This window comes from Homo sapiens, chromosome 12 (genome assembly GCF_000001405.40).
Source record: "Homo sapiens chromosome 12, GRCh38.p14 Primary Assembly".
Classification (NCBI taxonomy): domain Eukaryota; kingdom Metazoa; phylum Chordata; class Mammalia; order Primates; family Hominidae; genus Homo; species Homo sapiens.
In genome coordinates, this window is record NC_000012.12 from 2990967 (window position 1) to 3017819 (window position 26853).

Consider the following 26853-nt stretch of genomic DNA (forward strand, 5'->3'; position numbering starts at 1 on the left):
TTGAGGCTGGAAGTTCAAGACCAGCCTAGGCAACCTAGTGAGACCTCTGCAGTAAATACATAATCTCTACAGTAAATAAATAATTAGCCGGGCATGGTGGTGCGTGACTAGAGTCCCAGCTACTCAGGAGGTTGAGGCAGGAGGATCTCTTGAACCCATGAGTTCAGTGCTGTACTAAGCTATGATCTTGCCAGTGCACTTCAGCCTGGGCAACAGAGCAAGACACTGTCTCTAAAAAATAAAAAATAATAAAAATTTAAAGTGATGAAAAATAAAAAACCAGCTTCCTCATTACTAAGGGAGCTTTGCTCAGTCGTTTCTAAATTTATTTATAGAGTGAGAGTTTTAAAATCATCTTATCTACTATATTGCCAGAAATTAAAGTTGGCAACTCTTTTAAGTAGTTTGTTTCAGGCTGGGCATGATGGCTCACGCCTGTGATTTCAGCACTTTGGGAGGCCGAGGTGGATGGATCACCTGAGGTCAGGAATTTGAGACCAGCCTGGCCAACGTGGCGAAACCCCGTCTCTACTAAAAATACAAAAATCAGCTGGGTGTGGTGATGTGTGCCTGTAATCCCAGCTACTCAGTAGGCTGAGGTGGGAGAATTGCTTGAACTTGGGAGGCGGAGGTTACAGTGAGCCGAGATTGTACCATTGCCCACCAGCCTGAGTGAAAGAGCAAGACTCCGTCCCCCCACAAAAAAAAAGAAGTTTGTTTTGGAAGTATGGAAAAATGTTTTCATGTTCAGGATAGAATCAAGACCAGAATTTCTGATGAGAATAAGCTAGTTTATTCCCGAAAAAGCGACTCTGCCCCCAAACTCTCATGAAAACTTACTTTAACAGCCACAGAGACAACAGGCAACACTTGTTACACTAAAAAGGCCAGTGACTCTGAAGGGCTGAGAACAAGACCTTGACCTGCACCTTGGCCTCACTGCGCGACCTTGGGCGTGTCCTTAGGCCTCTGGGCCTCAGTGCCCTTTTCAGCAAGCTGAAGGAGCTGCTTAGGTTTCCTGTGGTGGGGGTTGGGGGGGGCGGTTCCTGCTTTTTTTTTTTTTTTTTTTTGAGGCGGAGTCTCGCTCTGTCGCCCAGGCTGGAATGTAGTGGCACCATCTTGGCCCACTGCAACCTCTGCCTCCCGGGTTCAAGTGATTCTCTGGCCTCAGCCTCCTGAGTAGCTGGGATTACAGGCACCCGCCACCATGCCCGGCTAATTTTTTTATTTTTAGTAGAGGCGGGGTTTCGCCATGTTGGCCAGGGTGGTCTCGAACTCCTGACCTCAGGGGATCCACCCGCCTCGGCCTCCCAAAGTGCTGGGATTACAGGTGTGAGCCACTGCGCCCGGCTGGTTCCTGCTTTACGTGTCAGTGGCTCTAACCTCTTTCCCACTGCATGTCTGTGCCAGCTGCTTTGCCAAGCTCCTTTTGACCTCTCCTCCTGGGATGTGCCTCCCACACTTAGCCCCTCCCTCCCCTCGATCCTCACCCCCTCCCTCACAGTGCCTCTCTGTGAAGGAAATTGTCCTTCTCACAGGCCATGGGTGGGAGATGAGGGGTTTGAGGGTATGGAGGGCAATGATAAGCGAGGAATGCTCTGGGAGGTCCCACTTCAGAGGATCCGAGGTGGAAGTGGTCGAACTCAGGGGTTTAGACCCCCAGCCTGGGTTTGGGCTGCTGGACTGCATTGCTCCTCAAGGCTAGTGGGGGAGAAGGGACGGGCAATGTGTGTGACGCGGTGAGGTCCTCCTTTACAAGTGGACTCGGTGGCTGGGATGGGGAGAAGTTGGGGGCTCTGCGAGGGCTGTGGGAGGTACGTGGTTCCCAGCTGGTACTCATAACCCAAAAACTGCCTTAAGATTACTGGTATGTCCTGCTCCTTCACAAACCCCTGAGAACTATGTTTGGAAGCTTACAGCTTGGATGGTTGGAGCCAAGAGGTCACTGGATTTGTCTCATGTTAGGGGAAGGTGGGGTTGTGACCATGAGCCTCCAGAGGCACCAGAAAGTCAATCCTGCCGTTGCTCCAGTGTGTGAGGAGCTGCCAAGACTGTTTCTTTCAGAAAGAGCCTGAGTTGGGAAGGGAACAGGAGAATAGTGACCTACATTATATTGTATATGCGTTTTTAAAAATTTTTCATTGTGGTAAAAAAGACCACAAAATGTACCATCCTAACCCTCTTGAAGTATCCAGGTTGGTAGTGTTACGTATATTCACAATGCTGCGCAGCAGGTCTCCAGAACTTCTTCATCGTGCAAAACCGAAACTCTGTACCTGTCAAGTCACAACTCTGTGTCTTTCTCCCACGAGCTCCTGGTAACCACCATTCTACTCTGTTTCTATTTGTTTGACCACTTAAGAACATTTTGTAAAAAAAATTTTTAGTAGAGATGAAGTCTTGCTAACTCCTGGACTCAAATGATCCTCCTGCCTCAGCCTCCCTAAGTGCTGGGATTACAGGTGTGAGCCTCTGCACCCTGCCGACTACTTTATTTTTATTTTATTGTATTCATTTATTTTGAGACAGAGCCTTGCTCTGTCACCCAGGCTGGAGTGCAGTGGCGCAATCATGGCTAACTGCAGCCTTGACTTCCCAGGCTCAAGTGATTCTCTGCCCTCACCCTCCAGAGTAGCTGGGACTATAGGTGCGAGCCAGCACACCTGGCTAATTTTTTTTAAATTAATTTTTTGTAGAGATGGGGTCTCCCGATATTGCCTAGACTGGTCTGAAACTCCTGGGCTCAAGGGATCCTCCTGCCTCAGCCTCCCAAAGTGCTGGGAGTATAGGCATGAGCCACTGTGCCTGGCCTAATGTGACTGCTTAGATACCTCGTCAGCGGAATCATGCAGTGTTTGGGTTGTTTTGTAACTGGCGTGTTTCACTCAGCATAATGTCCTAAAGGTCCGTCTGTGCTGCAGCACGTGTCCCGGTTGCCTTCCTTTTTAAAGCTCCTATTTCGCTGTAGGTATACACCACATTTTGTTCATGCATTCATCCATTGATGGACACTTGGTTTGCTTCTACCTTTTGACTCTTGTGAATAATGCTGCCGCGAGCATGAGTGTACATATATATCTTTGAGACCCTGCTTTCAGTTTGTTTGGGTATATACCCAGGTATTGGGTCATATGGTCTTGCTCTGTCACCCAGGCTGGAGTGTAGTGGCGGGATCTCGGCTCACTGCAACCTCTGCTTCTCGGATTCAAGCGATTCTCCTTGTCTGAGCCTCCCGAGTAGCTGTGATTACAGGTGCCCGCCACCACACCTGGCTAATTTTTGTATTTTTAGTAGAAACGGGGTTTCACCATGTTGGCCAGGCTGGTCTCGAGTTCCTGACCTCAAGTGATCTGCCTGCCTCAGCCTCCCAGAGTGCTGGGATTACAGGCGTGAGCCACAGCGCCCGGCCTGTACCATTTTGCATTCCCACCAACAGTACCCAGGATTTTGCATGCTTTTTGCCCAGGGTCGATTTAATGTCAGTGCATCCCCGGCACTGCATCCTTGTCTCCTACTTTTCAGCCCTTGTCTGGGTTCCTTGATACCAGGGAGTGCCTAGGTCATTGTGCTCATTCGACAGATGGGAAGATGAGCTCTCCAGAGGGGATGGGACCTGTTCAAGACCCCAGGCCTGATTCTCACAGATCTTTCACTTCACGCTTTGCTTCCTGAGCAACTGATTCGGGCTCTGGCACTCCCCGGAGTGCCTTCATCCCGTGGCCCACGCAGTTCTTCCACTGCTCACCGGGGCTGTGGTTCCTGTCCCCACAGGTCCAACGAGCGCTCCTCCAAGCGGAGCCTTGGAGGGCACGGCCGGCACCATTACCTCCAACGAGTGGAGCTCTCCCACCTCCCCTGAGGGGAGCACCGCCTCTGGGGGCAGTCAGGCACTGGACAAGCCCATCGACAATGACGCAGAGGGCGTGTGGAGCCCGGATATTGAGCAGAGTTTCCAGGAGGCCCTCGCCATCTACCCGCCCTGTGGCAGGCGCAAAATCATCCTGTCGGACGAGGGCAAGATGTATGGTAAGGAGCCCGTCGGGTTCAGCCCTGTACCTGAGGCTGAGGCAAGGGGCCGACACCAGAACCTTGGGGTTCCTGCCGGGCCACAGAAGGGGATGACCACTTGGGGCTTTGTCGGGTGGACACTGCTTTCTTCCCTCCTGGGCTCCCAAGGGATGGGGGCATCTGAGGAGAAGCCTGTGAGGGGGTGTGGAGGGTGGGGCCCCTGGCGGTGAGCAGAGATGGGAGTGGGAATCTTGGAAAAGGCGAATCTGGGTGGGGTAGAACATCCCCCCAGAGCAGGTGGGGAGCACCCCACAAGCTGTACCCCAGCAGGTGCCTGACCAGCAGGCTGCCCACCTTGGCTGTGAAGGATGCTCACTCATCCCCTCTTTCCCTCACTCATTCATGCAACAAACAGATGCCGAGCCTTCTGTGTGCCTGGTGTGGGTTAGACGGGTCTAGTCCCAGCCTGTCATCTGGGGTGAGGGTAATGTGAGCTCACAGATACCTGCTCTGCAAGGCAGCCTGGAGAGTTCCTAGGAGAGGCAGAGTGCTGGAGACCACTCCCCTAGGAAAGGCCCCCCCCAACCCAGCAGAGGGTCACCAGAAACGGCTTGATCTTTGTGAGTGGCTGGGGTTGCAGAACACAGCTGAAACTGTTCAGCGATGCATGGGAAGGACCAAGCAGTTGGCATGGGGCCACGATGACTTTTGGATGGAAGAGGGGGCATCTGGAAAAATGAAGCAGGGGCTGGGCATGGTGGCTCACTCAAGCCTGTGATTCCAGCACTTTGGGAGGCCAAGGTGGGAGGATCACTTGAGGCCAGCAGTTTGAAACCAGCCTGGGCAACAAAGCGAGACACCATCTGGAGTAAAAATAAAAAAAATTACCCAGGTTTGGTGGTGCCAGCCTGCAGTCCCAGCTACTGGGGAGGCTGAGGCAGAAAGATCTCTTGAGGCCAAGAGGTCAAGGCTGCATTGAGCCATGAGTGCACTGTTGCACTCCTGCCTGGGTGCCAGAGTGAGGCCCTGTTTCAAAAAAAAAAAAAAAATGAAGCAAGAATAAAAACTGAATGGCTGTTGGAAGGCCCAGATAAGGCTTCTGTTCCTGTTGGAAAGTCCTCTAGGAATCCTAGCTCAAAACAGTGGTCTTGGGGCAGGAGTGAGAGCCCTGAGTGGGTCTCTAAATGGCTGAAGTCAGTGACAACGGGGCCCCTGCCTGGCTTCCAACAGGATGGCCCCAGACCAGCTGCCCACCCCCACGGGTTTCCATTCATTTCTCCCCCACACCCAACGCTGGTGCCACCCCCACCATTGTTGCTTGGCTCGGCTTCCCCAGGGTCGCCCTTACTTCTGGGTCGGCCCTCTAGACTCTCCCTGCTTTGACCACTTCTTGCTCTGATGGTTGCTTATTTTTTCCTTTTTCTTTTCTCTCTCTCTCTTTTTTTTTTTTTGAGATGGAGTTTCACTCTTGTTGCCCAGGCTAGAGTGCAATGGGCGCAATCTCAGCTCAACGCTACCTCTGCCTCCCGGGTTCAAGCGATTCTCCCACCTCAGCCTGCCGAGTAAGCTTGGATTACAGGCACGTGCCACCACTCCTGGCTAATTTTGTATTTTTAGTAGAGACAGGGTTTTTCCATGTTGGTCAGGCTGGTCTTGAACTCCAGACCTCAGGTGATCCGCCCACCTTGGCCTCCCAAAGTGATGGGATTACAGGTGTGAGCCACCGCACCCAGCTTTTCTTTTCTTTTCTTTTGTTTTTGAGACAGAGTCTTGCTCTGTCGCCCAGGCTGGAGTGCAGTGGAGCAATCTCGGCTCACTGCAGCCTCCGCCCCGTGGGTTAAAGTGATTCTTCTGCTTCACCCTCCCGAGTAGTTGGGTCTACAGGCGTGCGCCACCACGCTCGGCTGATTTTACAGGTGTGAGCCACCATGCCCGGCCTTGCATCTGTATTTCTAAATAAAATACTTGAATGTGTTTGTGGCAGTTAAGATAAAATTTGTCTTTAACAGATCCCAAATAACAGTGGCTTACATAAGGGAAATTTCCTTCTCTCTCCTATAAATGTCTGGAGGGTAGGTAGTCCAGGGAAGGTGTGGCAGCTCTGCTCCATGAAGCTCTCAGGGACCCAGGATGCTTCCGTCTTGTGGCTCATGAGCATGCCTTCCATTGTGAATGTTCCCTTAAGGCCCAAGCAGCTGCTTCAGCTCCAGGAGTTACATTGCAGCTAGCAGACAGGAGAATGGGATGAAGAAGAGTGACCTGGATACATTTAAGGAAGACACTGGGAAACTAACCCCTGAAATATTTACTGGCCAGAACTCCTGTGAAGTCCCTTCCACCTCTACTTGTGAAGTTCTGCTTCTTACTTTTAGCGCCTGGGGAAGCGTCATGGGGGAGACAGCTGTGTGTGGAGCACCTGGGGGTGCCTGGTGTGGTGTTCGGTGCTTTGCAGAGGTTGTTGCCATTTAGCCAGGAGGGACGCAGCCTCTGGGACCCCCCGGGCTCTGCTTTGGTGGAGGAGGGGATGGGTATAGATTGTAGCTTAGGTGTGAAATGAGAAAGGGCAGGGGGAGTGTAGGGAAGGGCAGGTGGCTTGGCTGGGGAGCTGTGGTGTATGTCCTGGACCCTTCACAGGGCAGGTCTGTGTGCTTTAGAGACAGAGGTGGGCCGGAAAACGAAAGTGTGCATGAGGCATCCAGCAAGGGGCAAGGGCGGAGGGCGCTGTGGGTGTCTGGGAGGGCCCCGTGGAGATGCTAGAATGCACTAAATCAACAGACATTTGTGGAGTTGAGCACCCCTGGGGACCAAGGGCTTTGAGGACTTGCTTTTTCGGGGGGGGGGTGTGTGTGTGTTAAAAAATACGTAACATTTTCCATTTTAATCATTATAGTTTTTCAGTTTATAATTTGATGGCATTAAATATATTCACATTGATGTACAGCCATTACTACCACCCATCGCCAGAAATATTTCATTTCAAAGTGAAATTCTTTACCTTTTAAACAATAATTCCCCATTCTCGCCATCCTCCCCGCCCTCCAGCCCTGGCAACTGCCATTCTGCTTTCTGTCTTTATGGGTCTGACTCCTTTAGTTACCTCATGTAAGTGGAATCATACAACATTTGCCCTTTTGTGACTGGCTAATTTCACTTAACACAAGGTCCTCAACGTTTATCTGTATTATAACCTAGGTCAGAGTTTCCTTCCTTTTTAAGGCTGAGTAATATTCCATTGTATAGACCACATTCTGTTTATCTGTTCATCTGCCGACAGACATTTGGGTGGATGCTTAGTTTTATTTAGTTGTTATAGGTAGATATTTCTGTCCCTGCTTCACATATAAAGATACTGGGGTTAAGAGACCGTGACCAACCCTGGGGAAGCGCCGGGCTGTGGATCTCTGGCAGGACTTGGGTTGGAATTCTCTTTGGCAGGAGGGAAGCCACTGACTCAGGGAAGCAGACTGAAAATGGTTTGGCAAACTGTCCTGGCCGTGTTGGCATCTCGGATGCTGCTCCTCCCCTGTGCTGAGACCCAGGGAGGGGCATGGGATGGGGACGCTCGGGAGGGCCTGGAGGAAGAGTGAGGAGAGGCAGAGGTGCTGCTTCACTGTGCTTCATAACACGTCAGCGCTCCCAGCATCCTGGGCATCTGTGATCTTTCGGTCCTTTCAACGGTCCCTTCAAGGAGGGAGGAATGGCACCTCTGCTTGCAGATGCAGAAATGGAAATTCAGGGAAGCCAAGAGTTTCTCCCAGTCTCTCAAGTTGGAAGTGGAGAGTGGGGCTTTAACCCAGTTCTCCTGCCTCCGAGCTTGGCGTTCCTCTGTCAGCTGAATGGCCTTGCTCCTCCACTGCCTGGCCCTGGCTCCAGGTGGGTCAGGCCCTGGGCAGGGCCCTGGAGGCTGTACTGCAGGCTCTGACAACCGCCCAGCCCCCACAGCACCTGTCCTGCATGAGAATAGGTTCTGCTGGGATCCAGACACCCGCTCACCCCGTCTCTTCTTACCAGTCCCGGGGGCCGAGCCAAGGCAGGACTGCGTGGGGACTGATGGAGGGCTCTCAGCAGGCAGTGCTGACCAGCCCGGCTGGGAGCTATAGATAGCTCTGAGCTCACCCCCAGTGTGTGGGATGGGCCCTCTGGGAGGCGGAATGGGAGGCCGAGCTGAGAGCTGACTCAGACCTCAGCTCACCGTGGCTGCTCCCCTCCTGTCTTCTCATCTTCCCTTGGGGCATCTGCGCTTCCCATCCTCTGTGTACCCCAGCCCCATTCTGAGCCCCCAGCTGCTTCTAGCATCCCCAGAGCTCTGGTCTTTTCTCCCCCCTCACTTCCCTGCATCCAAAGGCCACCAGCCCCTTTCCAAGTGGGCCGGCCCGGTGGGGTATGGGGTGGGGCTAAGAGGATGATTCCCGACCTGGGGACCCGGCCTTAGCTGTTTGAGGACAGGGGTTAGGCCTGCTCCGAGCTCCGCCCACGGAACATCCAGCATAGGACACGCTGACCAAGGCCAGGCAGACATGCAGATGACATGCAAAGCAGCACGGCAGATTAACACCTGCTATTTCTGAGCTGAGTCTCCCACGCTTGTTGGCTCCAGCCCTCCCCTTGAGCACCTCTTACCCTCCTGGGCCGGCTCCCGAGCCCGGGGTGCTTGCCTTCTCCTGCTCACGGCCGCTTTCATTTCTGCCCTGTCACTGTGTGACCCTCCCCCTGGCACAGCCAACGCTGGCCACCCTGACCTCCTTTGGCCAGGCTCACAGTCGGCCTAGCCTAGCGTGCAGGTGGTGGGATTCGAACAACTTCTCGCCCCCTTCTGCCTGCTCCCCGCCTTCCCCGCTCCTCACACTCAGTGCTGGCCGGGTGGGCTCGTGTCCCGCCTCCTGCTCTCTGGAGGGCTGTGGCTGGCTCTGGGGTTCCCTCTGCATTCATCCCTTTCTGCCTCCTGTGCTTCTCACCTTCCTGAGGTTGCTCTTGACTTTCCCGAGTCTTCCTGCCTCTTTTCCCTGCCTCTCTCTCTGCTTCTCCCCTCCTGTGTCCCAGGTGGGCCATCCTATTAGCAGCCCGTCAGTTCTCATTAAGTGACCACCCCACACTGGGCAGGCCGGGCTGAGGCCGTGTGGTCTCTGCTCTCCACAACTTCATGGTCTAATGAGAGGGGCAGGAAAAACTTCTCTGGACAGTTAGCCACCCAAGCAGACACTGGGGTTGTCCACAGCCGATATTAACCAGATTTATCTTGGGAGTTTTCCTGAAGGAAGCAGAGCTGAGGGTGAGTGCTTGTCTTGGTCTGTTTTCTGTTGTTGATAACAGAATACCTGAAACTGGGTAATTTATAAAGAAGGAGTTTATTCCTTACAGTTACAGAGGCTGGGAAGTCCAAGGTTGAGGGGCTGCATCTGTGAGGGCCTTCGTGCTGGAGGGAACTCTGCAGAGTCCCGAGGTGGTGCAGGCATCCCGTGGCGAAGGGGCCGAGTGTGCTTGTTCAGGCCTTTTCTTCCTCGGAGACAGCCCCCAGTCCCACTCCTGCGCTCTGTTAGCTCATTAATCCCTGCGTGGATTAATCCATCGTGAAGGCAGTGCCTTCAGGGCCGTATCACTCCTTAAAGGCCCACCTGTCCATACTGCCACATGGGGGATTACATTTCAACATGAATTTTGGAGGGGACTAATATTCAAACCATAGCAGTGCTCCAGGCAAGGGGGTGGAGAGATTGTGAGCATCAGTCTAGAGGCGAGACTTCACATGGTGGGTTTGGGGGACCCTGGTGGAGGATCTGGGCAAAGCACTGTTGGTTCGTCAGACTGTCAGAGGTGAAGGGATTCCCTCGTTTTCTGGATGAGTCACACAGCTAATAAGAGGCAGAACCGGGACCAGACTCAGCCTGAGTTTGGGACTAGATAGAGCACGTCGAGGGTCTTTTCACAAAGGTGATGGGACAGAGGTCACGGAGTTTCACCTGGGCTCCTGCCCCCCGCTTCTTCACCATGGCCTCATTTGCAGGATTCTCTGCTCCTCTTTGCTTTGTTGCCCTGTGGGTTTCCAGCTGCTCCTATGCTCCTCCCTGCGGCCTACAACCCTGACTTCAGGTGCCTGGAGACTTGATGACGGGAGTGTTCAAATCTACTCTGTCCCTGAGAGCTGGCGTGACCTTGGGCAAGTTATTTAACCTCCTTGGGCTTCATTTTCCTTTTGTAAAGTGGAGGTCATAATACTACTACCTTTGTGGGAGGTGATTTGGTTTATTTATTTTATTGTGAGAAAAATATACATTACGTAAAATTAACCATTTAAGCCATTTTTATGTGTACAGGTCAGTGGCATTAAGTACATTCACCTTTTTGTGCAACCATCATCACCATCCATTTCCAGAACTTTTCCATCATCTCAAATAGAAATTCTGTACCCATTAAACAATAATTCCCCATTCCCCTCTGCCCCTATAGCCGCTGGTAGCCTGTTCTATTTTCTGTCTCTATGATTTGCCTATTCTAGGCATTTCATAAAGGTGGAATCAAGCCAGCCGCGGTGGCTCACGCCTGTAATCCCAGCACTTTGGGAGGCCGAGGCGGGTGAATCAAGAGGTCAGGAGTTTGAGACCAGCCTGGCCAACATGGTGAAACCCTGTCACTACTAAAAATACAAAATTACAAAATTAGCCGGGTGTGGTGGTGTGCATCTGTAGTCCCAGCTACTTCAGGGGCTGAGGCAGGAGAATTGCTTGAACCCGGGAGGCGGAGGTTTCAGTGAGCCGAGATCATGCCACTGCACTCCAGCCTGGGCAACAAAGCGAGACTCTGTCTCAAAAAAAAAAAAAAGTGGAATCAGGCCAGGCGTGATGGCTCATGTGGCTTATGCCTGTAATCCTAGCACTTTGGGAGGCCAAGGCGGGCAGATCACTCGAGGTCAGGAGTTCGAGACCAGCCTGACCAACACAGTGAAACCCGTCTCTACTAAAAATACAAAATTACAAAATTAGCTGGGTGTGGTGTGCACCTGTAATTAGCTACTCGGGAGGCTGAGCCACGAGAATTGCTTGAACCTGAGAGGTGGAGGTTGCAGTGAGCTGAGATCATGCCACTGCACTCCATCCTGGATGACAGAGTGAGACTCCATCTCAAAAAGAAAAAAATGTAATCATACATATTTCCCCTTTTATGTCTGGCTTATTTCAGTTGGCATAATGTCCTTAAGGTTCATCCATGTTGTAGCGTGTTTCAGAATTTCCCTCTTTTTTAAGGCTGGGTAATATTCCATTGTATGGAGAGACTGCATCTTGCTTATCTGTTCACCTGTGGATAGACATTTGTATTGCTTCTACTTTTTGACTACTATGACTAATACTGCAGTGAACATTGGTGTACAGGTATCTTGAGTCCCTGGTTTCAGTTCTTGTGGGATTGGAATTGCTAGCTCATGTGGTAATTTTATGTTTGAGTTTTTGAGGAACCACCAAACTGTTTTCCACAGCAGCTGTATCAGTTTACATTCCCGCCAGCAATGAACAAAGGTTCTGATTTCGCATATCCTCATCAGCGCTTGTTATTTTCCATTTTTTGGATCATAGCCATCCTAGTGGGTGTGAAGCGCTATCTCGTGGTTTTTGATTTGCATTTCCCTGATGATTAGTGTTGTGGAGCATCTTTCCATGAGGTTATTGGAATAAGACATTGCCTTCTAGTGTTGTCGTAGGGATGAGAGCACACAGTAGGTGCCAAATGCACAGCACGGGGTGAGGGGAACACGTACCTGCCCTCAAGGAACTCACAGTGTGGCGGGGGAGCATGACTAGGACAGACACCGAGGCAGGAATGGGCATGCCCTCTTGGGTGGGGAGCAGTGCAAGCTTCTTGGGGCTTCCTGGAGCTGTGGCCTTGAAGCCTGGCTGATTTCACCAGAAGCCTCAGAGCCCTCCAGGGACAATGGTAGGAACAGCTCAAATGTCAGGCCCAATTGCTGCCTTCTCAGGCTTCAGTCAGAAGTTCCTTCTCCACAAATAGCCTCCTTCTCCAGCCCCAGGTGTTTATGGCTTCAGTTGATCCCTGGATAGCTGCACCCCCAACACACACACCCTGGCCCCCGCTTCCAGGCCATTGGGGATTAGGGTGGGGCAGCAAGGATGTGCCCAGCCTCCTCTCCCTGAGCCCCAACCTACAGGGGTGCAGTGTGGCACTTGCTCACTCCACCAGAGGCCTACAGTGAACCAAAGATGTCCACGCACACTTCCACCCACTCTTGGGTGGGGAGGCTTGTGCTCTCAGCTCCTCAGTCCTTTTCAAGTTTGAAAGCTAATAGCATTCGTTATAATAGGGCTTCGTTAACAATATTAACAGTAATCGCTGACCTTGCTGGCCCTCTGCTGAGTGGTGCGTGCTTTACTTACTCCATGCCATTTAACAGTTTATGGTCTAGGGGGTGGGCTGCCATGGAGAGAGGGGACTCAGCACAGAGGAAATGAGATACAGAAATGACCTAGCCCAGGCAGGATTTTGCAGCTGGGGTAACGTTTTCAGTGGTGCTATGTGGCGGAGGTGGCCGGCAGGGTGTGTGTGAGGCTGAGTGTGGGGCTAGGAGAAAGCGGAGATTCCTCCTGGATGCTGCATCAGGAATGCTCCACCCTCAGCCTTTAGGCCAAGGCTCCTGTTTCTCCACGGGCAGCCTTCGCCCCCGGTGGGGTGGGGCCGTGGGTGTGAGCTGGGGGCTGTCGGACACATGTGCTCTGACAGATGGACAGATGGGCCCACAGTCTGGCAGGGGTGTCCTTCCCATCCCCACCCAGGCCGGCCCTGGGGTTGGCCGAGGCCACCTGCCACGTTGCAATGCGCAGCTGCCTGACTGGCCTCCTCCTTCCCCAGCCTGTGTTCTCAGCCACCAGAGGGAGAAGCCTGTGGTTATGCAGCTAGGGGCAGAGCTGGGACAAGGACAAGGACAAGCCCCTCCCACCGCCACCACCTCAGCTGGGTGCTTTACAAGTTTCTCACTGCCATGGCCCTTCTTTGCCGGCCTTCACTGTGGTTCCCACACTCTACCTGTAGGCCCACGCTCCCTACTCCCTTCCCCTCTTGCCCCTGACTCTGGGGGCCTTCTGGTGTCTACATGATCCAGGATACGCTGGCTCCCACCAGCTGTGGGTACCACTGTCCATGAGTGGTGGGCAGGACCTCAGGTCCAAGTAGTTGGATCTCCCTCCGGGACCTTACCTCATGCAGAGACTTAGGAATCGGGGGGATTGATCCAAAGGGAAGGAGCAGCATCGTCCCTTGCGGAGGAAGCTCAGCCCTGTCGGGGGAGCATATCCTGGGGGGAAATAGCCAGCATGTAATACTCTCGAAGCACTGGGGCAGCCTTGGAAAACATACCTTCTCGTGGTGCCTGGGACACTAGCAAGCCATGAGACTGTGAATAAGTCATTTCCCCTCTCTGGGCTTCCATTTCATCTTCATCAGGCTAAACAGGACCTCTAGAGTCACGTGGTCCAGCCCTGCTTCTGAGAGAAGTGACCTCCAATTCCCTGTTCATTCGGAGTGGTACCATGCAGTAGCCACAGATGGGCACTGGCACCAGACTACATGGACCCGAATCTCAGCCACATGCTTGCCTACGACCCTGAGAAGATTTCTCAACCTTGCTGTTTCCCTGTCTGTAGCGTGGATGACAGTACCACCCTCATTTAGCTGTTGTGAGGATCGAAAGGGTGAATGCAGATAAAGCTGTCACAGGATACATATCTGTATCCGCACAGATACTTGTACTGATGAGGTATGCAGCAAGTGTTCATTGTCATCAAGATTTTCACAGGAGTGACAGGCCACGGCAGCTCCCTCTGTGTGTAAAGCCTGGATTAGATGCCAGCTGGCCTGGAGGCAGGGAGATGGCTGCGTTGACCTCTAGAGCACCCCTGGTGGCAGGAAGGAAGCTGCTTGGGTCCCCTTGGCTCACACACCCACAGACACCCCACACTTCACTCCCTCACGGGGGGTTCTCAACTGCCGGCATCACCCCTGACCAGCACAACGAGGCTGGAGGGTCTGAGATGAGCCAGCAAGGGAGAGGAGGAGGAAGCTCCACAGACAGCCAGGGAAAAGCACAACTTTAACAAATACAAACCTGGAGGACAGTATGCCAAGTGAAATATACCAGACGCAGAAGGACAAATGCCGAGAGGGCTCACTTAGAGGTGGAATCTAAAACAGTGGTGCTCACAGCAGCAGAGAGTAGAATGGTGGTTACTGGAGGCTGGGGCGGGCATGACGGGGAGATGTTGGTCAAAGAATATAGTTTCAGTTAGATGGGGAAATGTTTTTGGTTTCTAGTTTTTGTTTTTCCGTTTTGTTTGTTTTAGACAAGGTCTTACTCTCCCTCCCTGGCAGAAGTGCAGTGGTGTGATCACAGCTCACTGCAGCCTCAATCTCCTGGACTCAAGTGACCCTCCTGCCTCAGCTTCCTGAGTAGTTGGGACTACAGGCATGTGCTACCACGCCTGGCTAATTTTTTATTTTTATTTTTATTATTTTTATTTATTTTGTTTGTTTATTTTTTTTTGAGACAGAGTCTCGCTCTATCGCCCAGGCTGGAGTGCAATGGTGCAATCTCGGCTCACTGCAAGCTCTGCCTCCTGGGTTCAAGCCATTCTCCTGCCTCAGCCTCCCGAGTAGCTGGGACTACAGGCGCCCGCCACCATGCCCGGCTATATTTTTTTTGTATTTTTAGTAGAGACGGGGTTTCATTGTGTTAGCCAAGATGGTCTCAATCTCCTGACCTCGTGATCCGCCTGCCTTGCCCACCCAAAGTGCTGGAATTATAGGCGTGAGCCACCGCACCCAGACTTATTTTTATTTTTTTGTAGAGATGGAGTGGGTTTCACTATGTTGCCCAGGCTGATCTTGAATTCCTGGGCTTGGGCGATCTTCCTGCCTCAGGCTCCCAAAGTGCTGGGGTTATAGGTGTGAGTCATGACGCCCAGTCAAGGAGGAATGTTTTTGGAGACCTATTGCCCAGCATGGTGACTGTAGCGAATAATAACGTATTGCATTTTTCATAAGTTGCTAAGAAAGTAAATTTCATGTTCTCATCATGAAAAATGATAAGTATTTGAAATGATGGGTATGTTAATTATTTGATTCAATCATTGCAGATTATATACGTATATCATAACATCACTTTGTACCCCATAAATACAGGTTGAGCATCCCAAATCTGAAAATTCAAAATCTGAAATACTCCAAAGTTCGAAACTTTTTGAGATGTGTGCCTCGAAGGAGATGCTCGTTGGACCGTTTTGGATTTCGGATTTTAGGATTAGGGATGCTCAGCTGGCAAGTATATAGTGCAGATAGCCCCCAAATTTGAAAAAAACCCCAAATCTGGAACACTTCTGGTTCCAAGCATTTTAGATAAGGGCTAGTCAACCAGTATGTACAGTTTAAAAAAAGAAAGAAAAGCCAGGCGTGGTGGTTCACACCTGTAATCCCAGCACTTTGGGAGGTTGAGGTGGGCAGATCACCTGAGGTTGGGAGTTCGAGACCAGCCTGACCAACATGGAGAAACCTTATCTCTACTAAAACTACAAAATTAGCTGGGCGTTGCCTGTAATCCCAACTACTTGGGAGGCTGAGGCAGGAGAATCACTTGAACCTGGGAGGCGGAGGTTGTGGTGAGCCAAGATCGCGCCATTTCACTCCAGCCTAGGCAACAGAGCGAAACTCCGTCTCAAAAAAGTGAAAAATAAAAATAATCAAAAATAAAGAAGAAAGAAAAAAAATACAAAGATGGGCCGGGTGTGGTGGCTGATGCCTGTAATCCCAGCACTTTTGGAGGCTGAGATGGGCAGATTACTTGAGGTCAGGAGTTCGAGACCAGCCTGGCCAACATGGTAAAACCTGTCTCTACTAAAAATAACAAAAATTAGCCAGGTGTGGTGGTGTGCGCCTGTAATCCCAGCTACTTGGGAGGCTGAGGTGGGAGAATCACTGGAACCCAGGAGGTGGAGGTTGCGGTAAGCCGAGATCACACCAGCTGCACTTCAGCCTGGGCGACAGCGAGACTCCCTCTCAAAACAAAACAAAAAAGAAGACGGCTGAGCTTGCCTTAGACCCCTTGGTGTGGCTCCTGTCCCGCCCCATTACTAGCCTCTCGCCGGGGGCTGAGACGGCCTTTCTAGCAGCAGAGCCCTGGAACCTTGTGGCAGAGGGTGAGGGTAGTTGTGGGGTGGTGGGCAGGGGCTCCTTGCAGAGGCTGAGTCCTCTGTGATGTTTGGGGTTAGGGTCTCAGCTGATGGGGGCCAAGGCCTCCCTACTGCTTCTCACCACAGGCTGCAGAGGAAGCAGCACTGTTACGGGGCAGTCCTGCCTGATGAGAGGAGGTTCCATTAACTAAGCATCCTCGCTTGGCCAGGCCTCGGGCCATATTCAAGCACCTGAGCCAAGAGTCACACCTGGGCAGTTAGTCCTAGGTCTGCTGTGGGTGATCTGGTGCAGTTCTCTGGCAAATAGGTATAATTACCTGCCCACTGCAGGGAGGAGGTGGATTTACTGTGAAGTTAATGAGGTTTACGCGTTAGGACCCAGCACTTACATGGGCCCCTTCCAAGTCCCTAAACTTAATTTTTGCTTCATTGAAGTATAACTGACATTACAACAAACTGTACATGCTTAAAGTGGCCAAGTTGATACATTTTGACAGATGTATGCACCTGTGAAGCCATCACCACCATCAAGATAATGAATGTGTCCATTGCCCCCAAGTTTTTAACCTAATTTTGTATTTTTAAAATTCTTTTTCCCAAAGGGAGCCTCCCAATTGCTAAATGTCTTAGGCCTCACAAAAGTCTGGGTTTGCTCATGTACAGAAAAGTTCAATGAGACCAGGATAGGACAGCGCCTTAAGAGTTACGTCGGACTAATCAGAAGTAAAAGGTTATTTGCATGTATTTAACTTACTCCTTTGTCTTAGAAGGCTAAAACAGTTACGGGACATCTGACCAGCATCTTAGCATTCATTCCCTCATCATTCAGGCAGCAAGTATTTATTGAGCGCCTACAATGTGCAGGCAGTTTTCTAGGTGGTGGGTATAAATAAGTGAATAAATAGACCAAAAATCCCTATTCGCATGGACTGTGGTTCTGACGGGGGTGAGGGCACAGACAGTACTGAAATAAGTTAGATTATGTATTATGCTAGAAGGTGCTGTGGAGGAAAGTAAAGGCAGTGGGTGCCAGGGTGGGCGGGTAGGAGTATGATTTCAGCCCTCAGTGGGGTGGTCAGGGAAGAGACAGTGGCACCCAAGGGGTGCAGGTGGTGTGGGACTCTGGGGCAGAGTGTTCCCTGGAGGAGAAACAGGAAGCACAAGGACCATAGTGGGGCAGGTGTGGGCCTGGTGTGTTTCAGGACAGCAAGAAGTTTAGGATGGATCGGGTAGACTAGATCAGAGAGGTGACTGAACTGGGGTGGCCAGATCCTGCAGGGGTTTCCAGGCCGTTGTAAGGACTTGGACACTGTTAATCTGGGGCAGATGGAAGCCATTGGAGGGCTTTTGAATTTCGATAGGGTCGCTGCAGCTGCTGTGTTGAGCATAGACTTGGAGCAGGGAATACAGGTGGAAGGTGATGATCCTAATCCAAGTCAGAGATGGCGGGAGCTTGGACCCTGGAGGGTGCGGTGGTGCACAGTGGCTGTATGAATTCTGGATATGTTTTGGAGGTAGAGCCACACCAGACTCATTCATTCATTCAGTGAGTAGGTGCCAGGTACTGGAGATGCAGACTTGAATGGAGGCATAGTCTCTTCCTCTGAGCTGTTGAGAGTCTAACAAGGAAAGACAGACATGGATAACTGATGAGCACACGATATCCTGTGTGCAAGGGACGGGCCAGAGGAGCAACCAAGAACCGTATCCCAGATGGTCTGCCATCCCCATCCCTCCTGCTACACCGTCACCCACTTCGCAGCTCTTGGGAACCTCTCTTCTTCCCTCATGCTTTTCCTTGCCCGTAGACTAGTCTCTGAGCTGGGTTACTTACTTGGGCCTAGAGCATGTTCATTTTACCGAAAAGGATACTGAGCCACAGAGTGTTCTCACTGAGCCAGCGTTGAGGTCTGTTTCCTACATCTGTAGAAATTTGGAAGAATCTGCGGGAAAAACCTTAAAGGAACTAGATTTAAGAAGAGACGGCTGGGCTGGGTGCAGTGGCTCACGCCTGTAATCCCAGCACTTTGGGAGGCTGATGCGGGTGGATCACTTGAGGTCAGGAGTTCGAGACCAGCCTGGCCAACATGGTGAAACTCTGCCTCTACTTAAAATACAAAAAAATTAGCTGGGCATGGTGGTACGCACCTGTAATCCCAGCTACTTGGGAGGCTGAGGCAGGAGAATCGCTTGAACCCGGGAGGCGGAGGTTGCAGTGAGCCGAGATCGTGCCATTGCACGCCAGCCTGGGGGACAAGAGCGAGACTTCGTCTAAAAAAAATAAAAAATAAAAATAAAGAAGAAGAGAAGGCTGAGTGAAAGTCCTTAAAGGGAAGAGACTTACCGTGCTCCCAAAGCTCATTGGTGGAGCTGCCAGGCTCTAGCCTGGCTCACCAGCTCCCAGGTCTGTGGCCCTACTTCATTCACCCACCGGTGATGACTTAGACCCGAGATGCTGCATGGGTGGCTTTAGTTAGACCTGGGGTAGAACTGTCGACCGTTCACTGGACCGCCAAAGCCTTTCCCTAGAAAGCTTTGAGAGGAGACATCTTGTGGACTCAGGGTTTCAGGTGCAGATCAGACCACAGACAGTGTCCCCAGACTCCGATTCTCCCCCCACTCCTTCCTCTGACACAGACGAGGCAGTGGTCCCAGGCCAGCACACCTTTTCTGGCAGACAGTACCTCTGGAGAGTAGCCTCGTAATTCGGCCTTGGCATTGGGGAAAGGTCAGCTGGGGGGTCAGCTTGGCCTTGGCCGTGCACTCTGGTTACAACCCAGGTGGCAGGCAGCCCACTCCCCTCACCTCCCCGGGCATCAGCAGCTGCCTCCCACGGACAGCCGCAAGCCCTCCCGGTTCCGCAGCACAGGGCGGGCTGGCACCTGCTCCCTCTGATCCCCCCACTCAAACCCTCTTGCTCTGCCTCTCCTCATCCGATGCTTCTCCGTATGGTTTAACACTAGCCAGGGGTGAAGGGCCACCCAAGGGCTTGCCTGACCACCCAGCCCGAACTGGCCCCCGGTCCTCTGAACACGTCCCTGTCCGTAGCACCCCTGGATTCCATTGTGTGGGCACATGCCGCTCCTGAACTAGGTAATGCTTTGAAATAAGGAACCCCTTTCCATCATCTTTTTCAATACTGGAAACCATGGATGCTCTGGGGTTTTCCAGGATGCTTCAGGCGTAGCAGCAGTCCCTCGGGGGCTGGGCCCATGGAGAGTGCTCAACCTTCCTTGTTGAGGGGTCTGAGTCAGCCATGGGGCTGCACATGTGCACTGACTGGCTTTTCTTTATGAGCGGACGGGCTCAGGCCTCCTCTCCAGGGACACTAAGTGTCTCCAGCAGTTGCACCCCCCATGCCCGCTGCTGCCTGCAGACAGGACAAGAAGTCTGGACGCTTCTACTCGTTTACAGAGGCGGAGGGCACGGTGGCAGTCACACAGGGCAAGGCCGAGGGCCGGGCAGCTCCCTGGAGCCTCCCAAGTGTGAAGAAGGCCCAGGAGAAAGTGTGGGGAGAGGAGAGGAGGCCGCCAGCGCTGGGTGAGGAACGGTACCGGGGGTCAAGGGAGGCTCTGGAAGTTCCTCAGGCTGTGCGTGGTTGGTGGCCACGGGCCCTGTTAACCTTGTTCTCGGGTTTCAGTCCCCACAGTGAGGCCTTGTCTTCCTCTCGCTGCTGGGAGATCCCTGTGATCCAGAGAGGGAACCCACAGAATCCTCACCCCACAAATCCGCTTAGGATGGGCAGAGAGTGAGGGCAGGGCTCCTCCGCAGAAGGTACCCCGCACCCCCTCACTGCTTCCAGCCTTTTGTCCTTCTCTCCACTGAGAGGCTGCTGGTGTCTCTGCAGGTCGGAACGAGCTGATTGCCCGCTACATCAAGCTCCGGACAGGGAAGACCCGCACCAGGAAGCAGGTGGGCCTCAAGAGACGGGTAGGGGTCCCGGGGGTGGTACCCCAGCACCAGTCTGCTCCCAAGGTGGGCCAGGCCCTCCCAGGACCAGACGCAGGCTTTTGAGGGGCGGCAGCTCTGGATGAGTTATCCCTGTTGGGCGTGTCACAGGTGGTCCAGTTTTCTTTTTCTTTCTTTTTTCTGAGACGGGGTTTCACTCATGTTGCCCAGACTGGAGTACAATGACGTGATCTCGGCTCACCGCAACCTTCTCCTCCTGGGTTCAAGTGATTCTCCTGCCTCAGCCTACCGAGTAGCTGGGGTTATAGTCACCCGCCACAATGCCCGGCTAATTTTTTGTATTTTTAGTAGAGACGGGGTTTCACCACATTGGCCAGGCTGGTCTCGAATTCCTGACCTCATGTAATCCACCCGCCTTGGCCTCCCAAAGTGGTAGGATTATAGGCGTGAGCCACCACCCCCGGCCGGGTGGTCCAGTTTTCTTGGGGTCCCTGCTGCCATCACTTAGGAGGAAACCCCTCGCCTCTCTGGAAAGTCATCAGCCCCCATCTCATCCTTCTCCAGGACACTAGGACAGACAGTAAAACATTGGCACTACTTTTCTTTTTTGTTGTTGTTGAGACAGAGTCCTGCTCTGTTGCCCAGGCTGGAGTGCAGTGGCGCAATCTCAACTCACTGCAACCTCCGCTTCCCAGGTTCAAGCGATTCTCCTACCTCAGCCTTCCGAGTAGCTGGAATTACAGGCATGCGCCACCACACCCAGCTAATTTTTGTATTTTTAGTAGAAATGGAGTTTCACTGTGTTGGCCAGGCTGGTCTCGAACTCCTGACCTCAAGTGATCCACCTGCCTTGGCCTCCCAAAGTGTTGGGATTACAGGTGTGAGCCACTGCTCCCTGCCGGCACTGCACTTTTGAAATACTGCCGGTTTCTGGATTAGCTGGGCAAGGCAGGACTGAGGGCCCACCAGTTGACCCTTTCATTCATTCATTCATTTGGTCCACAGATGTGGGTTGAGGGCTGTGGAGGGCGAGAGTCAGGAAGCCAGGCTGGGGAACACAGGTTGTTGGGAGGTAGAGACAGGAGTCCTCTCTCCCTGCCACAGGTCTCCAGCCACATCCAGGTGCTGGCTCGTCGCAAAGCTCGCGAGATCCAGGCCAAGCTAAAGGTAAGGAAACTGCAGTGGGGGTGCTGGAGTGGCCAGGAGTGGTGGCCAGCAGCATATCTTCCCTTTGGGGTCAGGGCATCACTGCTGGTGTGCAAGTCAGTGTGCTTTTCTCTCTGTTGAGGAGAGCCAGGTTGGGCCTGTAACCTCTCTCCCATCCGCACAAGAGGGCCAAGTGTGTGGATGCCTGGCTCCCCACACCCTGGGAGCTACAGGCCAGGCTCCTGCTGGGATCCCCCCTTGCTGGCTCCTGCTTAGAGGGGCTCACACGGCTCAGAGCAGCCGGATCACCCACCAGCCCTCATTTCTTGAGGGCCCCTCAGTGCCCTCGACCAGAGCATGCGGAGTGGCAGGGGCATGGGGGGGTGCCTGCTGTGGGGGTGGGGGTGGCGTTTATGGTACTGTGGGAGCTGGCAAATTCCTTCCTGCTTCCTGTCCTGTGGGACTGGGTGTTCCTTCCCTTCCCTGGGTCAGCCCCGTCTTGCAGGGCCTCTGCTGATAGGTGATGGCTCTGGGGGGCCTGATGTTGCTGGCATTCCCCTCGGGGTAGCCCTGCTCCCCACAGGAGTCAGGCCTCTGGGACCCTGGAACCAGGGGCCTTTGGGTGAACACTGGGAGGGAGTGAGCTCTCCATCAGGGAGGTGATGACGACAGAGGCTACACAGCAAGTTGGTGGGAAGATCTGACATTTGAGGCATTAAGTCTAGACCATTTATAAACATTTTTATTTATTTATTTTTAGAGACAGGATCTGTCTCTGTCACCCACGCTCAGTGCAGTGACGCAGTCATAGCTCACTGCAGCCTCGACCTCATAAGCTCCAATCACACTCCCACCTCAGCCTCCTGAGTATCTGGGACCACAGGCAAGTGCCACTGCACGGCCATTTTTTTCTATTTTTTTATAGAGATGAGGTCTCCCTATTTTGCCTGAGCGGGTCATAAACCCCTGGGCTCAAGAGATCTTCCTGCCTTGGCCTCTCAAAGTGCTGAAATTATAGGCATGAGCCACTGGGCCTGGCCTGCAAACATTTTTTTTTTTTTTTTTTTAGCAATGTAGCCCCTTTTCTTTTCTTCCCCCAACAAAATATCACCCTGATGTGTTATCAGAGGAGCCGTTCTGGTCAAAGCTAGGTTGGCAAAGCTCCTCTCCTCCCGCGCATCCTTTCCCACCCCATGGAACTTGAACTCTAGGGGACCTCAGAATCCAGTTTAAAAGCTACTGGGAGGCCAGGCGCGGTGGCTCACGCCTGTAAGCACTTTGGGAGGCCGAGTTGGGCGGATCACTTGAGGTCAGGAGTTCAAGACCAGCCTGGCCAACATGGTGAAACCCTGTCTCTACTAAAAATATAAAAATTAGCCAGGTGTGGTGGCACACAGCTGTAATCCCAGCTACTCGGGAGGCTGAGGCAGGAGAATCACTTGAACCTGGGAAGTGGAGGTTGCAGTGAGCCAAGATAGTGCCACTGCACACCAGTCTGGGCAACAGAGTGAGACTCCATCTCAAAAAAAGCCACTGGGCTAGCTGGGCATGCACGCCTGTAATCCCAGGTACTTGGAGGTTGAGGCCAGGAGTTGGAGGCTGCGGTGGGCTGTGATTGCACCTGTGACTGGCCACTTCAGCCTGGGCAACATTGTGAGACCCCATCTCTGAAAATATTTTTTATATTAAAGAAAAGCCACTGAATTAGATGACCTTGAAAGTCCCTTCTGGCCCTGGCAGTTCATGATCCTGACACTGGAATCTCAGAACGAGTGGGTGGGAACCACAGACCTTTCTGCCTCCTAGGAAGCCACACCCCACTGCCCACTCAGTTCCATTCCTCCTGCCATCAGCCCAGCTGTTCCCCAAGCCCCACAGCTGTGGCCTGGCACCTCGCTCCTTTTTCCCTGGGACAGCTGACCAGCCCTCAGCTGTTGCTCCCGCCTCTCAGCCTCAGCTTCCACAGCCATGGAACCCAGCCCTGCTCCCTGTTTCCCCTCTTTCGTCTGCCTCTGACTCACCGGGACCCTGCAGATGACCACGGTGAACAGACTTCCCACTACTGGGTTTAGGGCAATCCCTTGGGGGCCGGCTGTGTGGCCCACATTTGCTTCAGGGAATTGTACTTGTCCTTGTCCACAGGTTCTGACCTGGGGCCCAAGGACAGCCTTCAGTGGATGGCTGGACAGACACCAAGGGGAGCCATAAACTCCTTAAAATATGCAAATTTTCATGTATATGTGAGTTGCCTTGGAGAGATTGCTGTGAGGATTTTGTCATATTCTCAAAGGATCTAGAACCCAAAGTGATTAAGCTCTGGGTTGGACAGTGATCCAATAGAAATCCCTGAGTGAGAGGCTGGGTCCTAGGCCTGGCTCTGCCCCGTGGCCGTGAGTGCTTGGGCAGAGTCACTGGGACCTCCTGGAGCTCCAGTTTCCTCATCTGTAAAGTGACAGGCGAGCAAGGTGACATCCAAGTTCCCCTCCCGGCCCCGGTTAGTGGCTCCCTGGCTCCATTGCCCGGCTACTGCTGTCACTCCCCATCGGGTCCTTCCCACTTCCTCTGACCCCTGCCCCACCCTGCCCAGGCCGCGGTTTCCTGAGCCCCAGCCGTTTGTTTAGATCGAGTATCCAGGAAGGCAGGCACTGAGTAGATGCAGCCCCGGCCTCGTGATGGAGTTGTTAAGTGCCGAGGTCTTCGGGCTCGCAAGGGTGCGCCTGCCAAGTCCCTCATGCCCTCCTGCGGGGAGAGGTCAGGGGCTGGCCTGGGCACTTTCCTCCTGAAAATTCCAAGTGTCCTGGGAGGAGACACACACTTAGACTTACTAGTTAGCTCCCTCTTTGGTTATCAGAGACAGCCTCTGAGAGCAAAGCCCAAGTTTGGCCCCAAAAGGACAGTGGGGAGGGGGCCAAGGGGGGCCAGGGACAAACCTCATCTATTTCACTGCTTTGTCCACATCGACAATGACCCACTACTCGGAACAGTTCCCTACTCCCCACCGCCCTCTATGGTGCGTCTCCCCCGACCCCTTGGTTTGCATGGCCCCCCGTGTGCCAGTCTGGTCCAAGCTCACCTGGTCACCATCACCACTCTCAGCACCCTAGTCACCCAAATTCTCAGAGCCTCAGTTTCTTCATCTTAATGATCCTACAAGTCCTGTCAGTCTCACAGGACTCAGTGAGGTTGTGTTCTTGAAAACCTTCCGTGGGCTGCCTCATGCCACATGGGTGAAATGGTCACCTTGAGAGGATGAGTGGAAGGGCCTGCTGTGTTCTGGCTTCACACCTGCACGGCACCAGGATGGCGGGGGAGCACTGAGCCTCTCTGAGCCTCCCTGAGCCTCCAGGCCGCGGTGCTGCCCACCTCATGGAGCTGCGTGTGGACCGCGTGGAGGCATCCCTCGGAAGAGCTGGCGAGCTGCAGGGCTCACCGTTGCTTCTCAACTTCTGTTTTTAGTTTGTGTTTTAGAGACTCCACTCTGTCACCCAGGCTGGAGTGCAGTAGTGCTGTCACAGCTCACTGCAGCCTCGACCTCCTGGGCTGAGGCCATCCTCCTGCCTCAGCCTCCCAAGTAGTTGGGAGGTTCTCAACCTTTGTATCACTTAAGGGAGATCCAGGTCTACCAAGTTAATTATTATTAGTTATTCAATAATGGTTTTATCTTTGTCATTAAAAAAAAATTCATGGGTGGGGGCGGTGGCTCATGCCTATAATCCAGCACTGGGAGGTCGAGGCAGGAGGATCACATGAAGCCAGGCGTTTGAGGCCAGCCTGGGCTAATGAGATGCTGTCTGAAAAAATAATAATCATCATAAAGATATTTATTTATTTATTTAGACAGATTCTTGCTCCGTTGCCCAGGCTGGAGTGTAGTGGTGCAATCTCAGCTCACTGCAGCCCCTGCTTCCCAGGTTTAAGCAATCCTCCCACCTCAGCTCCTTGAGTAGCTTGGCCTGCAGGCACACACCACCACACCTGGCTAATTTTTGTATTTTTTGTAGAGCCAGGGTTTCACCAAGTTGCCCAGGCTGGCCTAGAACTCCTGGGCTCAAGCGATCTACCAACCTCAGCCTCTCCAGGAGCTGGGATTACAGGCATGAACCACCACTTCCGGCCAGGTATCAAATTTCTAATCAGAGCCCCTGAGTTGACTCAGTCGAGCCATTTAGCCCCGATAAAGCTGCAGACAGTGAATAATACTTGCTGTTCCAGCCCGTGTGTGTGTGGTCTTATTTTGGATAATCCCTGCTGGGTACAGTAACGCATGCCCGTGGTCCCAGCTACTCAGGAGGCTGAGATGGGTGGATCATTTGAGCCCAGGAGTTTGAGGCTGTAGTGAGCCATGATTGTGCAGTACTCTAGCCTGTGCGACAGAGTGAGACCCTGTCTCTGGAAAAAAAAAAAAAAAGAAGAAGAAAAAGACACAGTTTCCATTAGGCTTCTTGAAATAGGGAATGTTGTGTCATTGGTTTTGAAGACCTTTGGAATTCGGGCACTCAGGATGGAAACCACTGGCTTATATGAATATAACAAACGATTACTATTGTTACCCGTGCCATCCAAGTGGCTTTCCCTGTGTGCTTATTTGTTCCGGGCCTATTCAGGGTGAACCCATCCTCTGGGGTCTTGGAACCTTTGGAGGGCAGACAGTGGGTATTTACACTCTGACACATGAAAGATGGGTGAGTCCCAGGTGCCTACAGTGCCCAGGGAGATCCTTAGGGCAGGACTGAGGCAGGAGGGGCCACAGGAGGTGGTCTCTTGCCTCCAGACAGCCCGTGTGGCCAGGGATGATGCTTCCTGTGCACTCGAGGAGGGATCCAGCAGATATTCATGCATCGTTTTCACAAGACAGGTGCTGAGCTAGGCACCTGTGGTAGAGAGGTGAGCAAGGCATAGAAGGTGGCCCCGTAATTAATAAAATGACAGATAATGTCTCTGTAAGCTCTGATGAAAGAAGCAGGGCAAGTATCATGCCCCTTTGACAGATGAGAAAACTGACCAGAGAAACCAGCTGACTTTCTCAGTTGCAAAACAAGTTAATAGCACGGCACAGACTTAACGCCTGGTCCCCCAGCTCTGGCCACTGGCAGCGAGACAGCTTCCCTGACCCGAGGGCCGGACCTGCCTGGCCTCAGCCTGACTAGTGACCCTGCTGAGGTCCTCCCTTGCAATGTCTCCCCCAGGACCAGGCAGCTAAGGACAAGGCCCTGCAGAGCATGGCTGCCATGTCGTCTGCACAGATCATCTCCGCCACGGCCTTCCACAGTAGCATGGCCCTCGCCCGGGGCCCCGGCCGCCCAGCAGTCTCAGGGGTAAGTGGGCTGCCGAGAGCTGGAGGCCAGGCCAGCCCTCTCCTCCTCCCTCCTCCCTGTTCAGAAGAGCCAGAAGCATTGGCCAGCCCAGATTTCTCTCACCTGAGTCCTCTTGGCCAGGGCAGTCAGGGAAGGAGGGAACAAGGACCCAAGGGCCACACACATCCCGGCTTGGCTGGTATTGGGACGGCTTTCTTGGGGTCCTCGGCAATGACTCCACAGACTTCACAAGGGGGAAGGGGGAGCTTCCAGGAGCTGACCACCTGGTAGCTCTGCCATGTTGGCCTAATTTA

General features: G+C 52.8%; 1 protein-coding gene across 3 annotated transcripts in view, besides 4 other annotated features; it reads left to right on the forward strand.

Moving 5' to 3' along the window:
• The window catches only part of TEAD4 (TEA domain transcription factor 4), an 81280-nt gene that overhangs the window by 31570 nt on the left and 22857 nt on the right, over positions 1 to 26853 (forward strand). Inside the window, exons 3-6 of one of the 3 annotated variants that reach the window (NM_003213.4) lie at positions 3772 to 4026; positions 20038 to 20102; positions 21204 to 21266; positions 26432 to 26560. In NM_003213.4, the coding sequence (NP_003204.2) occupies positions 3801 to 4026; positions 20038 to 20102; positions 21204 to 21266; positions 26432 to 26560 (483 nt within the window). In that variant the 5' untranslated portion in view covers positions 3772 to 3800. The remainder of the gene's footprint in view (positions 1 to 3771; positions 4027 to 20037; positions 20103 to 21203; positions 21267 to 26431; positions 26561 to 26853) is intronic. The other 2 variants (NM_201441.3, NM_201443.3) reach the window with 2 other exon arrangements.
• Positions 693 to 1194: an enhancer, noted in NCBI's record as "H3K4me1 hESC enhancer chr12:3100825-3101326 (GRCh37/hg19 assembly coordinates)". NCBI's record gives its function as "activates a minimal SCP1, AML or CMV promoter by ChIP-STARR-seq in naive H9 embryonic stem cells {active_cell/tissue: H9 hESC(naive)}" and the evidence as "EXISTENCE:reporter gene assay evidence [ECO:0000049][PMID:30033119]".
• Positions 8257 to 8551: a silencer, noted in NCBI's record as "tiled region #741; HepG2 Repressive non-DNase unmatched - State 15:Elon, and K562 Repressive non-DNase unmatched - State 1:Tss". NCBI's record gives its function as "represses a minimal TATA promoter and a strong SV40 promoter by Sharpr-MPRA in HepG2 and K562 cells {active_cell/tissue: HepG2 | K562}" and the evidence as "EXISTENCE:reporter gene assay evidence [ECO:0000049][PMID:27701403]".
• Positions 12397 to 13278: an enhancer, noted in NCBI's record as "H3K4me1 hESC enhancer chr12:3112529-3113410 (GRCh37/hg19 assembly coordinates)". NCBI's record gives its function as "activates a minimal SCP1, AML or CMV promoter by ChIP-STARR-seq in primed H9 embryonic stem cells {active_cell/tissue: H9 hESC(primed)}" and the evidence as "EXISTENCE:reporter gene assay evidence [ECO:0000049][PMID:30033119]".
• Positions 22670 to 23511: an enhancer, noted in NCBI's record as "H3K4me1 hESC enhancer chr12:3122802-3123643 (GRCh37/hg19 assembly coordinates)". NCBI's record gives its function as "activates a minimal SCP1, AML or CMV promoter by ChIP-STARR-seq in primed H9 embryonic stem cells {active_cell/tissue: H9 hESC(primed)}" and the evidence as "EXISTENCE:reporter gene assay evidence [ECO:0000049][PMID:30033119]".